This window comes from Homo sapiens, chromosome 4, assembly GCF_000001405.40.
Source record: "Homo sapiens chromosome 4, GRCh38.p14 Primary Assembly".
NCBI classification, from domain to species: domain Eukaryota; kingdom Metazoa; phylum Chordata; class Mammalia; order Primates; family Hominidae; genus Homo; species Homo sapiens.
This window is the reverse complement of record NC_000004.12, coordinates 120066940-120087279: the sequence shown is the minus strand read 5'-3', so window position 1 is coordinate 120087279 and position 20340 is coordinate 120066940. Positions and strand designations below refer to the sequence as shown.

Here is a 20340-nt window from a genome sequence, read left to right as displayed (position 1 = left end):
TCAAACTCACTCTGTCACCCAGGCTGGAGTGTAGTGGAAAGATGCCAGCTCACTGCAACTTCTGCCTCCCGGGTTCAAGCAATTCTCCTGCCTCAGCCTCCCAGGCGCAGCCTGGGATTACAGGCATGCGCCACCACGCCTAGCTAATTTTGTATATTTAGTAGAGACAGGGTTTCACCATGTTAGCCAGGATGATCTCAAACTCCTGACCTCAAGTGATCCACCTGCCTTGGGATTACAGGCATGAGCCACCGCACCCAGCCCAATACCACTTTCAAACCTGAAAACATTAGCAATAATTCCTTAATACCATCAATTATCCAGGTAATATTCAAATTATCCATTGACAAAGTTTTAAAGAGAATTGTGTGATTAAAAAAATGACTGAGAAAGGTTACTCTCCCATCTGTGCATAGGATGGATTAAAGCCAAGAGGGCCAGAATATAGAGGGGCAGTGTAAAAGCCACCACAACAGGAGAGAAATGAAACAAGATAGCCACGGTGTGAGCTAATGTGACTGGGATGAAGACATGGACCCTGAGTGAGAGACATGATAGGACTCAGGGAAAGCAAATATAAAGGAACACAAAAGTAGGAAGAGCAGAAATTCTGCTGGGACACACAGGAAAGCACAGGGGATTATTGGTTTAGTAGGGGAAATGACAAATTTAGTCACGGACCTATTCAGTTTAATAGGATGGACATCTGGTCGAAGTATATAGGTAATACCTCAAAGATTCAGAGCCACAGTTTGAGGGAAAGACGGACATTCAAGATTTCAACTTGAGAATCACAAAGGTTATGACTAATTGAAAGATAGTTTGTAAAAAATAAATGTAAAGGGCAAGACAGAACTTCATGCTTTCCTTAAAGAACTGGAAATTAAAGCAAAAAAAAAAAACATGAAAGAAGGCAAGAATGAAGTAGTCAAGGAGGTGGGAAAAAACACAAGAACTGAGATTTATCAGAGTAGCCAGTTTCAAGAAGGATGAAGAAACTCATAAAAGGTGCAGAGAAATATTCTGGAGAATCTAAAGTCCATCAAATGCTCAGTGGTATTCATTTATATTCAGATATTCAGCAAGTATTACAGAGTTCCTATTATGTGTCAAATACTGTCCTAGGTCCTGGATATATGATGGTGAAAAGAGCAGGCTCAAACCCTTCCTTCTTAGAGTTTACAGTGTAATGAGGGAGGCAGACATTAGTCAGTTGATTGTGCAAATAAATAATTATAAACCAAACTGAGTGCAACAAGGGGAAATCCAATGTGGCAGAGATGAGAATGCACAATAGGGGAACCTGATCTCTTCTGGGACAGTAGCAGAAGGCAAAGGATGGTTTCCTTGGGATGTTGAATGTACTAGATAGCCACAGCCTCTAGTACTGCTATTTGACCTATGAGTAAAGAATGACATCATTGTTTTTGTCATTCAAAAAAGAGGTCTGGTAGAGGAAATAACCAGACCTCAATTTTGAAAGAAAAGGCATTTTTACAGAGTTCTTATAATCAGTTAATTGTTGCAACACTTTGTACAAATGTTTACTAAAGAAAGGAAACATCATCAAAAGCAATACGTGAGAACATTCTAAATTATTTTTAACAATGTCTGACATACTATTTGAGTGTCTTTAAAATAAAATGTGTATTTTGGCTTTAGTTTCTGGTAATAAACCGTTACCACTGAAACAAAAAAAATTTTTTTTTTGAAATCAGTATTTCGGTTCTCAAGCTCAAGCAAAGGTTTTGTTTGGAAATTACTTTCTTTAGTACTTAACAGAAATCTAGAATAGTGGAGCACCATGCCAAAAAATCACTAATCAAACCTTTATTTTTTCCTATGCTGTTTACATCTGCTTAATTAATATACAAAAACTTACCTCCAGAAAGTCACAAAGCAAAGACTTTAAGAGCTAGAACATCTAATAAATAATAAACTTTAAATTCAATTAATCTAAACATTAAGAAATCAGGATCAGAGACTTAAGCAGTGCTTGAATATTTTATAAAGTAACTTTGATGAAAAGTAAACTTAAAATATCCTTCAGAATGTGCTTGAGATTGTCTTACTATGATTTAAATTTTACAATTTATTTTTTTAAAGCAAAAGTTAGACACCTTTCAGAAATCTTCCTTAAGAAACAGGCTAGGTTCAAAAGTCTGAAAAGTTGATTTATATGGTTTCAGATTTCACAATGCAACTAATCTGTAACAGACTATCATTTGTTGAGATTCACTGTAATATTAAAGAATATCCACAATCAACTGAAAAAGTTATTAAAATACTCCTTCCTTCTATAATTACATATTTGTGTAAAGACAGATTTTACTTTAAACAAAATACCATATTGCATCCAATTGAATGCAGAAGCAGGTAAGAGAATTCAGCTGTCTTCTATTAAGCCTTATATTAAAGACATTTACAAAAATGTAAAACAGTGCCACTCTTCTCGCTATATATGTATACATACATATTTGTTTATTTTGTTTCAGAAAAACTATATTACATATGTTAACATGTAATATGTTTTCATTGTTTTTAAATGATTTAGTAAATATTTTTTAAATTTTTCTGTTTCAATTTCTAATATGATAAATACCAACATAACCTGCATAAACAAAGTTCTTTGCAAGGGTCTTCAATAATTGTTAACAGTGTAGAGGAGTCCTAAGATCCTGCAGAGGTATAATTTCTGTTTACCATGTCTGTGGTTTGTCTTGGATCATTCCTGGGATCCTTTAAGCATAACATACCCCTTGCAGTTTACAGTTATTACACTGTAACTTCCACTGAGTGGTTTATATCAATACCATGAACAAATTAGTAATGCCAAGGAAAGAACAGGATATTTGCTCTGGCAGGTTTTTACAGATTCAAGAGGATAGGAAAAAATTATTGTCAATATTTATTATAAAATTTTTGTGAAAACAATGTATCACCTATACTGGGATTGTCATATATATGTTTTTGAAAATGAAAATAGCTATACTCTACCGAATTATAAAGTAATCATTAAAAATTTAAGCCTGTATAATACAATAAAGAAGGTTCTACAGATCACTCAAATCTATACACTGTCCAAAAAATAGTAATGTATTTGTATATTTTCTTTCAGACTTTATTTTTTCATATTATGGGGTGTGTGTGTGTGTGTGTGTGTGTGTGTGTGTGTGTGTGTGTGTAAAGAAGAAATAACCCAAGTATAAACTTAGCCACAAGAGCATCATGACAAAAAAAATTTCAGTTTGAAAATCTCTGCATTCTGAAAATCACTGATACCTGAGTTAGAAAGCTATCATAAAAGCCTAAGTGTTAATTTTATTAAATCAAATGTAAACTGCCTTACATGCTATACAATTAAATTTGCTATAAAATTAAATTAGCTATAAAATTAAATTAAGTTTTAAATCTAAAATGTTGCTGAGTAACAGATCTATACATCAAACTGTTTTCTAGTTAAAAACTTTAAGATTGTAAATATGCTGAAGCCATTCTACTGACCATATTAAAATGCTGTTACAAATTAGAATAAGAAAAAGTGAATTATCACAATGCTTTTTGGTATTTTTGTGTGACTAAGAATGTCTGTATTTTTCAAATCTTGTATGAACATCTAATTATCTCACTAGATCTCTACTTTATCAATTTAGCTTTAAAATCTCACTTAAAAAGTAATGTAATCCTATATATTAACCAATATTTAAGTTGTGTGAAAAGGTAAGAAGTAATTAGCATCAAATGTTTCTTAAATTAGAGATCATCTGTTTTTAATTCTTCCTCAGATGTCTTATCAGCCTTCACTATGGAAAATATTAAATTTCCATAGATTCAGCAGATTGAAACAATTTTTAGAAGGAGACAAAAACTGGCAGAACTGACCATAGGCAATAAAGTCAAAATGATAAAATCCAAAATATGCTGACGAATGCTTTTTTTCTCACCTACCTTGCAAATGTTTCAACTTGGTGCTTTTGATAATGTAATCTGCTCTCCTAAAAAAGGAAATAGGTATTTATGTAGCCTCCTGAAGTGTTTTATGTATTCAGGTATCACTGACAAGTTCCAGCAATCAGATTCTGAACAACGATTACCTAAAATAATTTATTGAGGCTTAGGGTTTTTGTTTTAAGTTATACTATATTGAAAATTATTTCATTATATTTCAATTTATCTTAGATCAAATGAGATTCGAGCAAATTAAAGTCAATCTATTATTTTGACTTAATATACATTGTTTATAACATTTAATTTTATATTTTTTTTCTGGTTTCAGAGTTATCTCACACACTGCCCATTAACACAAATTGCAAGTATGAACAGAACAGGCATCAGATAGGAAGAAACGCACTTATAAACTAATGTAAAGGTAATCCAAACAACAAATATGAGAATCATATGAACTTGTCATTATATTTTCAGTTCAAACAATGCTACTGTAATAATTAAGTTATTGTTATTAAGGAGCATACTGAATAAACATGAAAGCACCTACTCAAAATATATAAATTCATTTTAGATTTTATCAAAAGCATAGTTTAATTCAAATGGACATAAATATTTTAGACTGTAAATAGTTCCATTTATATGCATATAGATGTTCTCACAGACTGTATTAAGTCCCCACCATGTTCATTTGAAGATAAATATATACAGCATTTACTTCAGTTCACAAAGTGTGGGCATAAAACAATCTACAGAAGCTTTTTATAGGGTTTAAAAGAGTTCTAATCACCCATGCCAACTGCAGTCTTCTCTCAACACAAAACTTCTTTTGAAATCAAGCATTCATTTGCTAAAACAAGGCATCTGCTGTTAAGGAGATTGATTATCCTGGGGCCTGACCTAATTGGGAGATTAGATATGGTTCTCTACGCTGGATAGCATGGTTTATAGAAAAAAAAAAAATGAGACTGAAAAAAGAGCAAACTTCTTTCAGCTTCCAATGCTCTTTATTTAATTCTAATTTTCTTTAAATAGAAACAAACAGAATTACAAATGTTAGGTTGGTGAAATTAGTGTGTTATGAGTTACAAATTCATTGAGCTCACCAGGTCTTTTCTTTAGTAACAGATACATATTTGTTCTCATTACATAAGTCAAACATTGACAAAGAAATGAGTTTTTTTGCCATATCCCACTGAGTGAAGATGACTACATAATAGGTACACACACACACACACACACACACAAATCTGGCCTTTTGCTAATGGTATCATTCCAGTGTTTTCCATTGCCATTTAGGTATTGGTTCTTTTTCCCCAAACATAGACATCACCTCATTGCTGTGGCTAATTGCATTTTTCTTCCTAGCCTTTGACAACCAGACCTTTGTTAATGCTATTCACCAATATATCAGACTCAGGTCATCCATCCAAAACATGACAAAAGACCCAGATGCTCATGTAAATTGCACTCCCCAAAAGTACTGCCCTCTTCCTCAGGGCAGATAGATTCATGACCCCCTCCCATTTTTGTTCACTCCCTTTGTTTTCACTTAATCTGTCATGCTTGAAAAAAGTGGTTATTTATGGACTGTAAGAAACATTATGCTTTTTTACACTGTAAATCAAATAATCAAGATGATTATGAAGATATAATTTTCTATTCAAAATTGTAAAACAGCCTGTTTTAGTTGAACTTCAAAATGAGTCCCTTTCCAGAATGAAGACTTCCTTCTATTCATTTTTTTCACCCCTTCTTGAACTCTTGAGTTAAAACCAAGTTCAATTGTCCTCTTTCACTGAGGAAAAAAGGAAGAAAAAACTTTCAAGTAGAAGTGTTCAAGCAGAAGTGCAGGACTGAATCATTAATAAAATATTTCATTTATAATTAAAAAGTCAATTTTACTTGATGCTTTCTTATTGCCTTCAGTAAAATTTGCATTAAGCATTAATTACTCAGAATTTCTACTTTCTAAAGCCTTAAGTAACTTTTTTTTAAGTAACATAAAAATAATTTCAAGATACTTTCAAGAAACTGCTATAATGATGCTTTTAAAGGAAGGTTGTTATAGATTAAATGGTTTCAGAAACATACTATGTTTGTGTAAATATAGCCATATTCCAGAACCTAGATTTCTTTCTATTCATTCTTCATCTCTTATATATTTTCACCTTATATATTTTAATATTCACCATTTTTGGAAACTAAGTCACTACAAGAGATGGCAGAAATAGATAATTAAATAGAAAAACAATTTATCCAGATAGAAATAAGCACTAATATTTTGATATTTTAAGAAAAGCACCAAGATCAAACTAATACATAAGTTTCTGACCTTAATTTTAAAGACTTTCAAATTTAATTAAAATTGAGTGAAAACTTAGTAAAATGGTAAGAAACTTATAGGGTTACAAGTGCTACTATCCTTATCTTCCACTCACAAATACAACCACACTGAATTTAATATGCTCACCGGTTAGTCATAATACCAAAAAAATCAGAAATCTTATTGAGCTTATGTAATAGGATAGCATAAAACATTAATAACCATTAAAGCTTAGCAAATATTATGGAATATATCAGTAACATTAGGAAATGAATGACACACAGCATCATCATTTTATTGGAATTCCCTATTGTGAAGCTGAAGTGTGCAGGTCTACTCTGAATAAATTCAGAACAGAAAACAGGAAAAGTTCATACAAAAAAAGAGCACAGAAAAACAGAGGAGGTCAAGAAAGGACCGGAGCTAAAGAGAAGACTGAAAATTTGGCAGAATTAAAGGACTAAAAATCATCAGATATGGAAGATGGATAAAAAGGTGAAATTAATGAATCTATGATAATGAGGCAAAACCAGAGATTTTCCTGGCAATTATAGCACTTACTGGAATTTAAATAGTGAAGATAATTAAAATAGTGAAGTCTTAAGTGCCTCGACCTGGACTGTCACTATAGCTTTCCAATCTGTACTTCACCTGTGCTACAGTAACGTTACTAAAACACAACTTTATATTGTCCCCAATATAATTCTATAAAAACTTTTAGTGTCTCTCTAACGTCTCCTGAGAAAAGTCCAAACTTTTAGCCTGTCACACAAGGCTCTCTAGAAAAAGAACCCAGATGTAATCTGATCACATGAAGACTCTGTCCTGGGGAAAAGTGAGCTAATTTGATGCTTCCATATTTTGTCCCATAGATTTTTAAGTTCTGTGCCTGTGACGTCCTCTCTCTACACATCTATACCTATAAAGGTTTTTATCCCCACCTTTACTTTATGGTCCAGACTGGACTTTAATCATCTCCGTTAAACCTCTAATTGACACCCATCTTTGCCTGCCTAAGTTCTAAGCACTCTTCAAGTTCTAAGTACTCTTCAAAATGTTTATAACATATACTATACCTAACACTGTGGAAAATGTTTATAACTCTTCAAGTTTTACATCCTCCAAGAATATTTCTTTTGCTATCTTTGAATTTGTTTGGCAATTACTGCATACATTCAATTGTTTCTCATCCTGTACCTTCTTATGTGCAGCTATTTTTGTGTAATAATTCCCCAACTAGATTCCCAGCTAGATTTTTCCTCTTGCATCCATACAGCACCGCACTGTAAGATAAATAGTACTCAATAAATATCTATTTAGGAAAACAAATATCCATTTATTTCTCCTTCATTGACTTATCATCCCACTCCTCATAATGGCTGCTTTAAAAATCTTTCCAACTCTTGGCGTGGCGCAGTGGCTCACCCCTGTAATCCCAGCACTTTGGGAGGCCAAGGCGGGCGGATCATGAGGTCAGGAGATCGAGACCATCCTGGCTAACACAGTGAAACCCCGTCTCTACTAAAAAACACAAAAAATTAGCCTGGCGTGGTGGCGGGCTCCTCTAGTCCCAGCTACTCGGGAGGCTGAGGCAGGAGAATGGCATGAACTCGGGAGACGGAGCTTGCAGAGAGCCGAGATCGCGCCACTACACTCTAGCCTAGGCGACAGAGCAAGACCCTGTCTCAAAAAAAAAAAAAAAAAAAAATTTCCAACTCTTTTCACTTATGTGACATTATCTTTCCCTTCCTCCACTTCCCTATCTCACCTCCTCCTCCACTGAGAAGCTAAAGATTATTCTTTACTTGCATTTCAAGAAAAAATGAGAATTTATCTGCATCCTCACATCTCCCTTCTTCCTTGTTTTCAATTTCTAAGAGGGAATTGTCTCTTCTGTTTATTCTCTACTTGGGTCCTTGATGCCATTGCTTTCTGTGGCCTCAGGTGTCTGGCTCTATTAGTTAGGCCTTTCCAACTTTCAACTTCAGTATTTATATTTCTTTTGCTCTCTTTCCTCTAAATATCCTAAACATAAAATTCCCAAGATCCAGCAATTGCTTATGTGGTTTCTCCACTCTCCATTTCTCTTGCAAACCTTTTACTTCTATCTTCTTAGCCTTACTTCCAAACTCCTTGTAAAAGACTTTTATACCCTACCGTGTGACCCAAATTGTCTCCTCTTAGTTCACCAAAAATCTTTCAAGTACAAAATCTGTGACTCTTCCTCAGTCATTCTTATTTGTGCTGAATTATTTACTAAACTACTAAAATAGTATTTTTCTACCTAATCCAAATTCACTAAATAGGTTCTGACATTCCTCTCACAATTTGCCTCCTACTTTTCCATTTCTTCTGAGTTTCCTTCACTGCCTCTTCTTCCTCAATGTGTCATTTTATTAGCTATTACCTCAAAAAAAATTTTTTTTTTTTGCCTGGCCTAAAACCACTTGAAGGAAAATGAATCGAATGCCACAAACTTATCTATATCATCTCCATGTATAACAGCTCCACACCATGATCCCCCAAAACCCAGGCTGTTCTTCAGAGTACAACCAAACACATCTCAACACATTTTTAAAATGTCTCTCAAATTTGTCATCTTTTTACATTCCTGCTGTATTGCATATTCTCATTTCCTTTTGTCTGAGCTATCAATAAAATTGGCAGGACAAAGAGTAGGCTATTTCAAATGCCATTCTATCCCTTGGCCAGAATATTTGTTTAATGCCTCCTCTTAGTTCACTGAAGATCTTTTAAGTAGAAAATTGACAAGATCTTTTAAGCACAAAATTTTTAAAAAATTCCTGTTTTTGCAGCCCTAGTCAGGGTACCCCTTTTGGCCATCCACTCTTAGCCAGATGAGCCAGTATTGCACCCTGGATCCTACCTCTTGTTTCTTTTCCTCCAGTTTTGGACTCTTTTCTTCCACTTTTGGATTATTTTCCTTGTTCCAATTCTGTGACTTTCCAGCCATTCAGCTCCATTGGTTTCCATTGCTGAATGGGTCTCAGGAGTTACATAGCAAGGATGGAGGAATATTAAGGACCCACTATAGTTTGCCTCAAATTAGAGTTATCTAAAATATAGTCAGATCTTTGATGCTTTCAGGATTCATATTCTGGTACCATCTAGATTGCTTGGATTTGACTCCAGTTCTCCTAGCTGGGTGACCTTAGCTAAATTATTCAACTTCCTTCTGTAACTTAATTCAGGTAATAGTAGTATCTAACTCTTGAGCTAATGAGGGATTAAATAAAATGATTCTTGTAAAGCACATAGAAATGTGCCTGGCAGATAGTATGTGGTTAATAATGTTGGCTATCATTATTATATATGTTATAAGAGTTTCTATCTCATCTGTGCCTTAAGTTGTATTATCTAAAGCCTCCTTTAGTTATGCTAAACTAAACATGTACCAACCCAGGAAAGGTGCGTGGAAAAGTGGTGAAAAGCTGTCTTATTAACAACAACAGTAACAATATAATAATAAAACAATAACAATAACATATTAGCATTAAGCCAAAGCTTCATTTAAATTATCTCATGTAATACTCAGAAAAATTATATGTGACAAGTACTATTGTTACATCCATTTTACCGATAAGGAAAATAACTCCTATATAATTCTTCTTAAATTGTCCAGATAGTCTGCTTCTAAGAAGTTTCTCTGGAACATGCTAGGCTAACATCTTTTTTTGACATATCTGCATGTGATCTCTGCTGTTGGTAGATTGCTTGGAGATTCCTGCTTCTTTTAGACAAGACCATGACACTCCCTCATTATGCAACCAGTAATAAAGTTTTTTTTTTTTATGTGATCTAAGTGGACTTTTATGACAGGATTTGTTGAAACCCCTAAGATGGCTTTTATTCTGTGCTTTGGGCAGTGGTAAATAGATGGGGTTCAAGAGTCTGGAGCACTCCTTCCCAATAAGAATGTATTTTCCTTACAGGATTGTTCTGCAAAGTCCATTATAAAGAATGATAGCTCACGCCGGGCATGGCGGCTCACACTTGTAATCCCAGCACTTTGGGAGGTCAAGGTGGGTGAATCACTTGAGGCCAGGAGTGCAAGACCATCGAAACCTTGTCTCCACTAAAAAATACAACAATTAGCTGGGTGTGATGGTGCATGCATGTAATCCCAGCTACACAGGAGGCTGAGGAATAAGGATCACTTGAACCTGAGAGGCGATGATTGCAGTGAGCTGAGATGGTGCCACCACGCTCCAGCCTGGGTGAAAGAGCAAGACTCTGTCTCAGAAAAAAAAAAAAAAAAAAAAGAATGATACTTCAAATTTCCACATAGGCATGCAGGTCAGCCATCCTAACTAGGTCTATTCCATATTTACCTAGAAGAGAGGACAAGCACGGAACACTACTATTCCCAACTCAGGTGCCTCATCCCCTAATCAATAAGGTTTCTGCAAACATCCTCAAAATCAGTGGCTTCCAAAGTGGAATATATGCAAAAAACAATCCTTTTGGGAGTATAGGAAGGAATGTTACAACTTCTATTTAATTTATGTTTTAACCTAGGAAAATAAGCTTTACTAAAAAAATGGATTTCAAAAAATGGACTGACATTGCACACTCACACAGTCTCCATGTCAGAAGGTCACGTTCTTACTCATATGTGGAAGTTAAAAAAGTTGATCCCACAGAAGTAAAAAGTACAACAGAGAATACTAGAGGCTGGGAAGGGTAGGCGGAAAGAGAGGACAGAGAGATTTGTTAAAGGAAACAAAATTACAGCTAGATAAGAGTAAGTTCTAGTGTTCTACAGCACTTGTAGGATGACTACATCCTACAAGTTAATAATAGTTTAAAATAGCTAGAATGGGGATATTGAATGTTTGAAACACAAAGAAATTATAAATGTTTAAGATGATAGATAGGCTGATTACCCTGATCTGATCACTATACATTGTATAGACCACAACATCACTATGCACCCTGTAAATATGTACAATTATTATTTGTCAGTTTTAAAAATTTAGAAAAAAAAGGGAGTCATAGGCCATGATTGGTACCCTGAGGAAATGCAAGTCAGCTGTGCCAGATTTACTGGCTCTTTCTCTTTGCAGTACTGTGCTAACAAGAACTTCAGAAAAATTAACATTCTTCCATTCCGTTTTTCAAAAGACACTCATGTTATGGAAGGAGCACGTTTGAATAAACTTTTTTTTTTTTTTGAGATGGAGTCTCGCTCTGTCACCCAGGTTGGAATGCAGTGGCACGATCTCAGCTCACTGCAAGCTCCAGCTCCCGGGTTCATGCCATTCTCCTGCCTCAGCCTCCTGAGTAGCTGGGACTACAGGTGCCCGCCACCACACCCGGCTAATTTTTTGTATTTTTTTTTTTTTTACAGGGTTTCACTGTGTTAGCCAGGATGGTCTCAATCTCCTGACCTCGTCATCCGCCCTCCTCAGCCTCCCAAAGTGCTGGGATTACAGGCATGAGCCACCGCACCTGGCCTGGATAAACTATTTTTTAAAAAAGTCTCATCTGTACAATTGAAAAGTTTGGAAACAGAGTTCTCTAAACTATAATTTTTCTAAATTACAAATTAGTTCCAAAACTAACTAAAAGGTCAAACAATGCATTTAATTAGTTCCCAAACTAATAGGAAGGTATTGTTTTGATATTTTTTTAAAAAAAAAAGGGTTAAAAAACTGCTTAAACCATTGTTTTTGAACACATTCATTAAAATTATTAAAATATCATATGTCACTTTTTAACCAGCTTGTAAGAACACCTAATTGGTACCATTAAATTGAAATTTAATAATCCCTTTTCAGCAAAAACTTTGCATAATTGCTAATACAGGTAAATAAAAAGAATAAGAAGTCAACAATGTACTTTCTTCCATTTGGACCTTCATATCTTTGTGGTGTATCTCTTTTAGCTCTGCTGGCCAAAAAACACAAACCCCCCAAAACAAACAAAAAAACTATTAAAATAAGCTGAATTATTAGACTTGTAAACCACTCTTTCAAAAATAATTAAACCATGATTTTTAAAAGCAATGAAACATATTCACTGCAAAAATCTTAATATGGTTATTAATATATTTAGTGAAAGTAAAAATAATTTATTTTCTAATAATATAAACAGAATTATTTTAAAAGTATTTCTCATCTTTCTTAATTTCGAACAACTGGTATGATTTAAACACATATGCTATACCTAACACTGTGGAAAATGTTTATAATTTAGAGATAAATAACCAACATTTACATAAGTATATTCATAACTTTTTCTGTTACTGATAGTACACACTATTTTGGAAAACAAGACCTTTGAGAAAGAGAAGAGAAAGGTGCATTCACATTTCCAGATTGCTTCAAATAATCTCCCTACAAGTTCCAGTCTCCCAGGAGGTACAGGCAAGTGTACTTGGGGCATAAGTAGAACTATGACCTGCCTTTCCCACACTCCTGATCTTTTTCCTAAGTCAGGCAGGCAAGCATTGTAAGTGTGGAATGCTACACCTACAATGTCCCGAAGATGTTCATCTTCTATGTTATGAGTACTTTTGGCTGCTTTTGGGAGTTAAGTATTATAATTTCTTCTTATTTCAATGTAGACTAACTCAATAAGAATCTTATTATTCTTAAAATAGCTCAAAATTAATGAATCTTAATGTAAAATTCCAAAAACAAAAAGAGCCTATCTTATCGTCTAACTATACAAATTAATAACCACACTTTACATTTAAATCTCAAAATTCTGTGGATACATTTTAAAATAACTAAATGCTATGATCTATTGTTTCTCATACTATAGTCTACAAGTATACTCTTGGAAATATTCTTAATTAAATAAAACTTCAAATTTTCTTTTATTTTGATGATGTTGTAACAGAGATTAAGAAAGATCCTTAAAACAGAGAATTGCCATCTACCTGAGTGCAAAAAGTTAGAATCTGTATTTGTAAACATATTAGGATTAAGCAATCATGAAAGACACCATTTATTTTTAATCCACTTGATCTCCAAGTTTAAACCAAAAGCTCTCAAGTTCAGTAAGCCTTTTTGTTGTTGTTGGCTGATGTTAAAAGGGTACATTATTCAAGAATTTTAAAAAAGTCATATTCAATTTATAAATTGAAAAGTTCAGCACAAATAATGGAATTAATGTGCATGACTGATCTGAAACCTGATAAATATGGCTTGACTACCTTATTGTTTGAATGAGCTATAAACACAAGGCAAGTTATGAGAAAACCGTTCCAGTCAAAAAAGCTGAGTTTATCTAAATAGAAAAATATAAACAAATATAAAGTGATTTTTCATGCTTTCAGAAAGCTTTTTCAACCTACAAATGTCTTATAAAATGGTATTGACAAATATTCAAGAAAGACCCCAATTTGTAGTCTATTTATTTTATGTATGGAACTCTTTAAGAAATATTTTCCTACTTACTCAAAGAACACCTTAGTTTTATTATGAGTTGACAGATTTAGCAGAATTCACCAATATTTACATATTAAGCAATAATAAAAATAATCCTACATACAATGTATTTAGAAGAAACCAGCGAAAATTTACTACAGGCATAAAATGTCTGACCAAATTTCGTAAGTAATTATAAAATCATTTAACTCATTAAATTTATTTGTATTCATTTTAATAGGACTGTGGTTTATTATTGCTTCACAAAGGTTTTGTGTTGCCAGTTTCCATATCTGCAACTATTCTGAGCTGTTTTGAATTTCAATTATATTTTAAAATATTTTGTGCTGTCAAATCCAGTTGATTGCACCCAGGTTTCATATATATTTATACATATACATATACACATAGTCTATATAATATATATTCCATATATATTCAACATATATATGGCCCACATATATATTCAACATATATATGGCCTACAGATATATTCAGTCTCTGAAGATCACATATTAATAAATTATCATCTACCTTTCAAATTCTTTCTCTACCTGTGATTGAGCTATGAGAAGACTAAGTGACTACATACCACTGACAAAATAAAATTATAATATCAAAATAAAATCATACTATAACATGGTACCGCTTTCTGGAAAAAAAAACTACCTGTAATTTTCATAACAAGACCTTATGGAATTATTATTTTTTCAATAATATTTAGTATTTTTTACTACAGCTAAAATCTTAATAGCCTATATATGCAACTGGATCATTAAAAATTATGAATTCTGCCAGTATGGAGACATACCTGTTGACTTTATTAAGCCATGGCTTATTGATAAAATGTTATTAATCAAATTTGTGGTGCTATTTTTTTGAGCATGCAAACCCAAATCAAAGAGGCCTTAGGAGAAAAGTATGGGAGAGGAGGGGACTTTAGGAGATGTAGATTATGCAATTTAATTCTTAGGCCCATGAAAAAAATCTACAAAATAAACCCTAAGTAATCAAAGTAGAAAATTACAGATTTAATTATTGCCCTCACATAAAATGAAAAATAATCTGTATGATACAACAAACAGAATAACACTAAGTTTTATGAAAGATTTTTTAAAAAAGCAAATTTTCAAACTGACATAATCAAATATATATGGGCAAAAATATTTTTTCAAAATTTGTTCTTATTAAAATTATCATAAAAATAAGTATCCCTTACTGTTTTATAAAATTTAAAAGAAACTGCTCTGTTTCAAGATGTTGGCCTTAGGAATAAAATAACTTCTATTTGATTAAAAAAAAACTCTGTAAGTTTATGAGAATAATAATATACTTTAAAAAATGTTTTCTAAGTAAGAAGCAAATTAAATGGTGTATGTGTACACACACACACACACACACACACACACACACACATATATACACATATACATAAAACCTCACACAGGATAAGTACCCTTTTATCTGAAATGCTTGGGACCAGAAGTGTTTCTGAGTTTGGATTTTTTCGGATTTGGGAATATTTGCATTATATATACTTACTGATTTAGTATCCAAAATTTGAAATGCTCCAATGTGCATTTCCTATGAGCATTATATATCAATGCTCAAAACATTTCAGATTTTACAGCATGTCAGATTTCAGATTTTCAGATTAGGGATGCTCAACCTGTGTATGTATGCTTTCAGTATGTGTGTGTGTGTGCATCTATACTAAATGCTTAAGAGGATATTAAATGTTTAAAAGGATACCAGTTCTGGGCCAGGCATGGTGGCTCACACTTGTAATCCCAGCATTTTGGGAGGCCAAGTCGGGCAGATGACAAGGTCAGGAGTTGGAGACCAGCCTGGCCAACATAGTGAAACCCCGTCTCTACTAAAAATACAAAAACTGGCCGGGCATGGTGGCACGTGCCTGTAGTCTCAGCTACTTGGGAGTCCGAGGCAGGAGAATTGCTTGAACCTGGGAGGCAGAGGTTGCAGCGAGTCGAGATCATGCTACTGCACTGCAGCCTGGGCGACAGAACAAGACTCTGTCTCAAAAAACAAACAAACAAAAAAGGATACCAGTTTTGTAATATATTATGATTCCACATGTCATTCTGAAGTATTCCACACATATTAGTACCTTAGAAAATAACAAATTCATTTTTCCTTGAACTAAAGCACATTCACATGTACTATTGGTATTAAAAGGTAGTATTTCGCATGCATACGGTGCCACCTTGTGGCAGTTGTAAGTATTTGTGTATCTACATAAAATTATGGTTCGTATTAAATAACTGCCATTTTTTTTGACAAGTTATGTGTATAGGTTATTGAGTAAAAATCCTTAGCCTAAAAGCCGTTGTTTTTTTTCAAAATAACCTTTGAAAAAGAACATTTTTCAGAATGTCTTCAGATGGATATAATTTAAAAGGAGACTAAGTCAGAAACCCTAGATTGTCTGCTAACTATACCACTGTCAAGATACTGAATCTTAGACAAACTGTATAGCCATTCTGGACCTCAGTTTCCATATCTTTAAGGTTGTTCAACTAATCATTAATTAAGTCACTTTCAACCTAAAATTTTATTTGATTTTAGCTTTAGAAAATTGTTTCTATTTTTAGCACCTTAATATGAAATAAAGGGCTGTTTATGACACACCTTATCTCTTTTACTAATATGAGTTTGTTTGGTTATGCATTCTGCTTGAATTTTCTTCAGAAAAAAGTCTTAATTTATTCTTCTCCCTGTCCAAATAGGCTTCCCCTAAATAATACACATTAAAAAGATTTCATTGAATTATAAAGAAAAGTAAGTTAAAGTAACTGAAAACAAGTTTTGAAACATTCTGTAAAGATAAGTGTGCATGTATTTGATAAGATGCGGTCAATGGCAAATCAAGTTCCCAAAAGTTAATGTGGAAGAAGTCCCTCCAAAGCTTTTAGAATCTTGGGTGTTACTTTGATAAATAAGAACTAGTACGAGTTCAGAGTTTGGGCAGCTCTTTCTACCATAATGTGGATCAAATACTACCCTGTATTGCAGATGTGGCACCTCAGATTTATCTGAACTACCGCTTCATTCTTCCATTATCAATCATCAACTCAGTCCTTGTTTCAAAATGTCTTTTCCTAAAGTATCTCTTCTTATTCAACCTCTCTGGCATCCATTTATTTCAGACACTCAACTTCCTAGCCCTGCAGGCTAAAATATCCATCACAGTATCTTGTTTTTTAGAGACTGGTCTAAGAACTTGCATCAGAATCACTTGGAATGCTTGTTAAAACATGTCATTCTCTATACCCCACACTGTAGACAAATACTGTCCAATAAAAATATACGAGTCACATACATAATTTTAAATGTCATGGTAATCACACTGAAAATAAACTAAAAAGAAGCCAGTGAAATCATTTTAATAATACATTTTATTTAATTCAATGAATGTAAAATATTATTTCAAGATGTAATCAATTAGAAAACATATTAACATAATACTTTATATCCATTAGTTTAGATGTCTTTGAAATCTGGTATTTTACACTTGCAGCATGTTACAATTTGGATCAGCATACTTCAGGTGCTTAAGTGTGGCCTGAACCAGTTCTGGGGAAGGTGGAATAAAAGCCAGGAATTTACAAAACACACAGGTAATTCTTCTACATGATCAAGTTTGAGGCCACTAACCTAGACTGTCCTGTACACAATCCATTCTACAACCATTACTGAATTAACATTTGAAAAAAAAAATGCCCCTTTAATTATGTCAATCCTAAGAACCTAGAAAACCCTGGTACCTCCAATTCAATCAACACAGATAGGTATTCACAGTTCTCTAAAAGTGACCTCATTCATCCATCCAACCTACTCTTCAATTAGAAAATGTTTTGGATTCTTACATAAAGCTTTCCTAAGCAAATATTCATTCATTCAACAAATATTTGTTGAGAACCCACTAAATGCCATCATGGATCTTACAGGTGTTAAAAAAAAATAAAATAAAAATGGAAGTCACAGTTTAGATATACATCAAGACCAACTGCCCATAACCACATAAACCAAAACTTAAGTCATCCTGATTTCCCTGAAATGCTCTAATCATAAATATAAAACATAAGCTTTACATTTTTGTTAGTATGATTCCGTGAAATTAAGCCAATCAACTGTAGACAAATCAACTTAAACAGCTGTTTGCCACCCCCCAACAAAATCTTAATGTATAAGGACCAATAATGGAAAAGCTCAAAATGCTTCCTCCTTTATCCTTATAAGCTGTGCTGTTACTGGTGAGTGCAAGCTTCTTACCACTCTTCCCACTTGATTTGAAGTCTCCTGGATTCTGATCTGTACTTTTTCTATGACAATAAACTTTTAGATTCATCCTAATTTTATTTTTGATACAGGAAAACAGATCAGGTATAACACAAACCATTACACAATTTTTTACAATAAAATAAATGCTCTGAAATAGCACTATGAGATGCTATGAAAATACTTCAGAGAGGTCCTTATACAGTCTGAAGGGCCAAGGAAAATGTCTTTAAGCAAAGTAACATTTAAGTTAAGAAAGAGTGTGAATATAATTAGGAATCTGAGCAGATAAAATGAAATTTCTAGGTAGAGAAGGAATATACATTATGGAAAGCACTAAGGTGGAAAAGAACATTGGAGGGCCAAGTTACTGAAAGAAGCAGACAGATGAGGAAAGTAATCTGATAGGGGGCTTCCCAGGCAGGCAGAAACCAGATAAGGCCAAACTCATGAGCTTCCAATTTTCCTTTAAAAAAAAAGTATAAATATTTAAACCAAAGTAGACTACAAACTCCTCAAAAGACACAGACCATTCCTTCTAAACCTCATGTCTTATGTCTCCTCATAGAGTACAGATATTTAGTACTTCCTCTGTACATAGAAAAATCGTAATTGTGCCAGCCTTTTAATTTCTAGAATTTCCAGGTTATACTAACAATTATGTGTAGCTTCAGGTAACTTAAAAAGCACATCATCATGAAACTCAAGAAAACCTTTCCTAAAGTGCTGAGTTTTAACATAAAATTCCTTAGAAAGAGAGGGAGTTTTTATGTGGAAAGACATGGGCACCATGGTCTACCAGCGTGACGCCAAAATTCTAGCTCTACCCAAGCTCCCAGTGGAAGGGGTGAAGGATATCCAACTCCCTTGCTTCTTTACTCCTCACTTTCCCTGACATTGCTCTTCATATCAAAGATTGTGATTTATACACACACAGAGATTAAAGGATTTAAGGAAAAAAATTTTACTGGGTCAAGTCAACCTGTTACCTATCACACCCATGCCTTACTCTTCCAACTAATCGAAACATGATATATACAACGCTGTACAGGCAGAATTCTAAGCTAGTTCCCCACATTCCTGGCCCCTAGAGAGCGCATCTACATAATCCCCTCCCCTGGAGTTTGGGTAGAACCTACAAATATGAGCAGATATCACTTCTGGGACTAGGTTCATCAAAAGGGAGATCTGACTGAGTCTTACTTAATCAGGTGAGCCTTTAAAAGGGGCTGGGGGCTCCCGAAAGCCACGAAGATGGGAAGTGTTAGAAGGCCTGTAAAAGGTCTAGCTGACACACAGCTGGCCTCTGGCCAACAGCTGGCGAGACAAAAAGGGACCTCAGTCCAACAACCACAACGAAATTCTGCCAGAGGGCTTAGAAGGACCCCAAACCTCAGATGAGATCCCACTTGCAGACCCTTTGATTTCAACCTTGTGTGACTGAGCAAAACCGTCAACTATGCCACGTCCAGACTTCTGACCTACAGGACTGAGAAAACGAATAGGTGTTTTGAAGCCACTGATTTGTGGTAATTCGTTATGCAGCAATAGAAAACTAACAACACTCAAGTATTTCTCATATAACGTCCGGCAGACATGAAAGTTTTTCAGGCGTCATTTTACAAATATCTTCCTAGCTGCTTTAAGAATAATTTTTTTTTCAAACTTGACATGAACATTAATTGTGCAATATCTCCTTAATAATTCTCACCCTTTTCAATGAAAAGTCACTGAGCTTGGTGAGTCAAGATTCACTGAAATATTCTTCCATGTTGATGGGCCTCTTTGGTGAGGTGACCTTATTCCTGTCCTGCCCCCTAAGGGTGGGCAGGGTGGACAGAACGCAGCCTGGACTTCCGGACGCAGCCCCCTACCGCCCCGGACTCGCCTACCCCTCTGGCCTCTGAGGAGGGCCCTAAGCCCAGGACAGACGTGGAAAAAGGGCAGTAAAAAGGATGCAGTTCTTCTCTTTAATCCCTAACCCAATTTCTCGGGAAAAGCTGCGTTCCCACACAGAAGGCGAACCCTGTAAAGCTGTGGCTTGGCTGCCGCGCACGCAGTCGCTTTACGAATTCCCAAAGCATCTAGCGGAAGTTTAGACCGTTCACTAGGGGTCACATGGGCCACTTCGCGAGCAGCTGGCGAACAGTTCCTTTCAGTTTGAAAGTATCTTTGAAACTCGGAAATTGTGCTCCTTGGTCTTTCAGTTCATAAGCCTAGAGAGTGGCTACTGAAATTGGAATCGTCATCTTCTTCCCTCGGCCCCAACTAGTAGACCACGACCAGAAGACACATCCTAACCTACACCTACCGTAGTGTCACACCCGGCACAGCGCGACCAGGTCCACCAACTGCGCCTGCGCGAACCGGCCG

General features: G+C 34.7%; 1 long non-coding RNA gene across 1 annotated transcript in view, besides 1 other annotated feature; it reads right to left on the bottom strand.

Annotated features, from left to right (window-relative positions):
• MAD2L1-DT (MAD2L1 divergent transcript) overlaps positions 1-20322 on the bottom strand; it is a 100247-nt gene extending 79925 nt beyond the window's left edge. Inside the window, exons 1-2 of the long non-coding RNA NR_187429.1 lie at positions 20279-20322; positions 3949-3995 (exon numbers count right to left, since the gene is read on the bottom strand). This is a non-coding gene — a long non-coding RNA (MAD2L1 divergent transcript). The remainder of the gene's footprint in view (positions 1-3948; positions 3996-20278) is intronic.
• Positions 19817-20256: an enhancer, noted in NCBI's record as "active region_21860". NCBI's record gives its function as "activates an Ori minimal core promoter by ATAC-STARR-seq in GM12878 lymphoblastoid cells {active_cell/tissue: GM12878}" and the evidence as "EXISTENCE:reporter gene assay evidence [ECO:0000049][PMID:35858748]".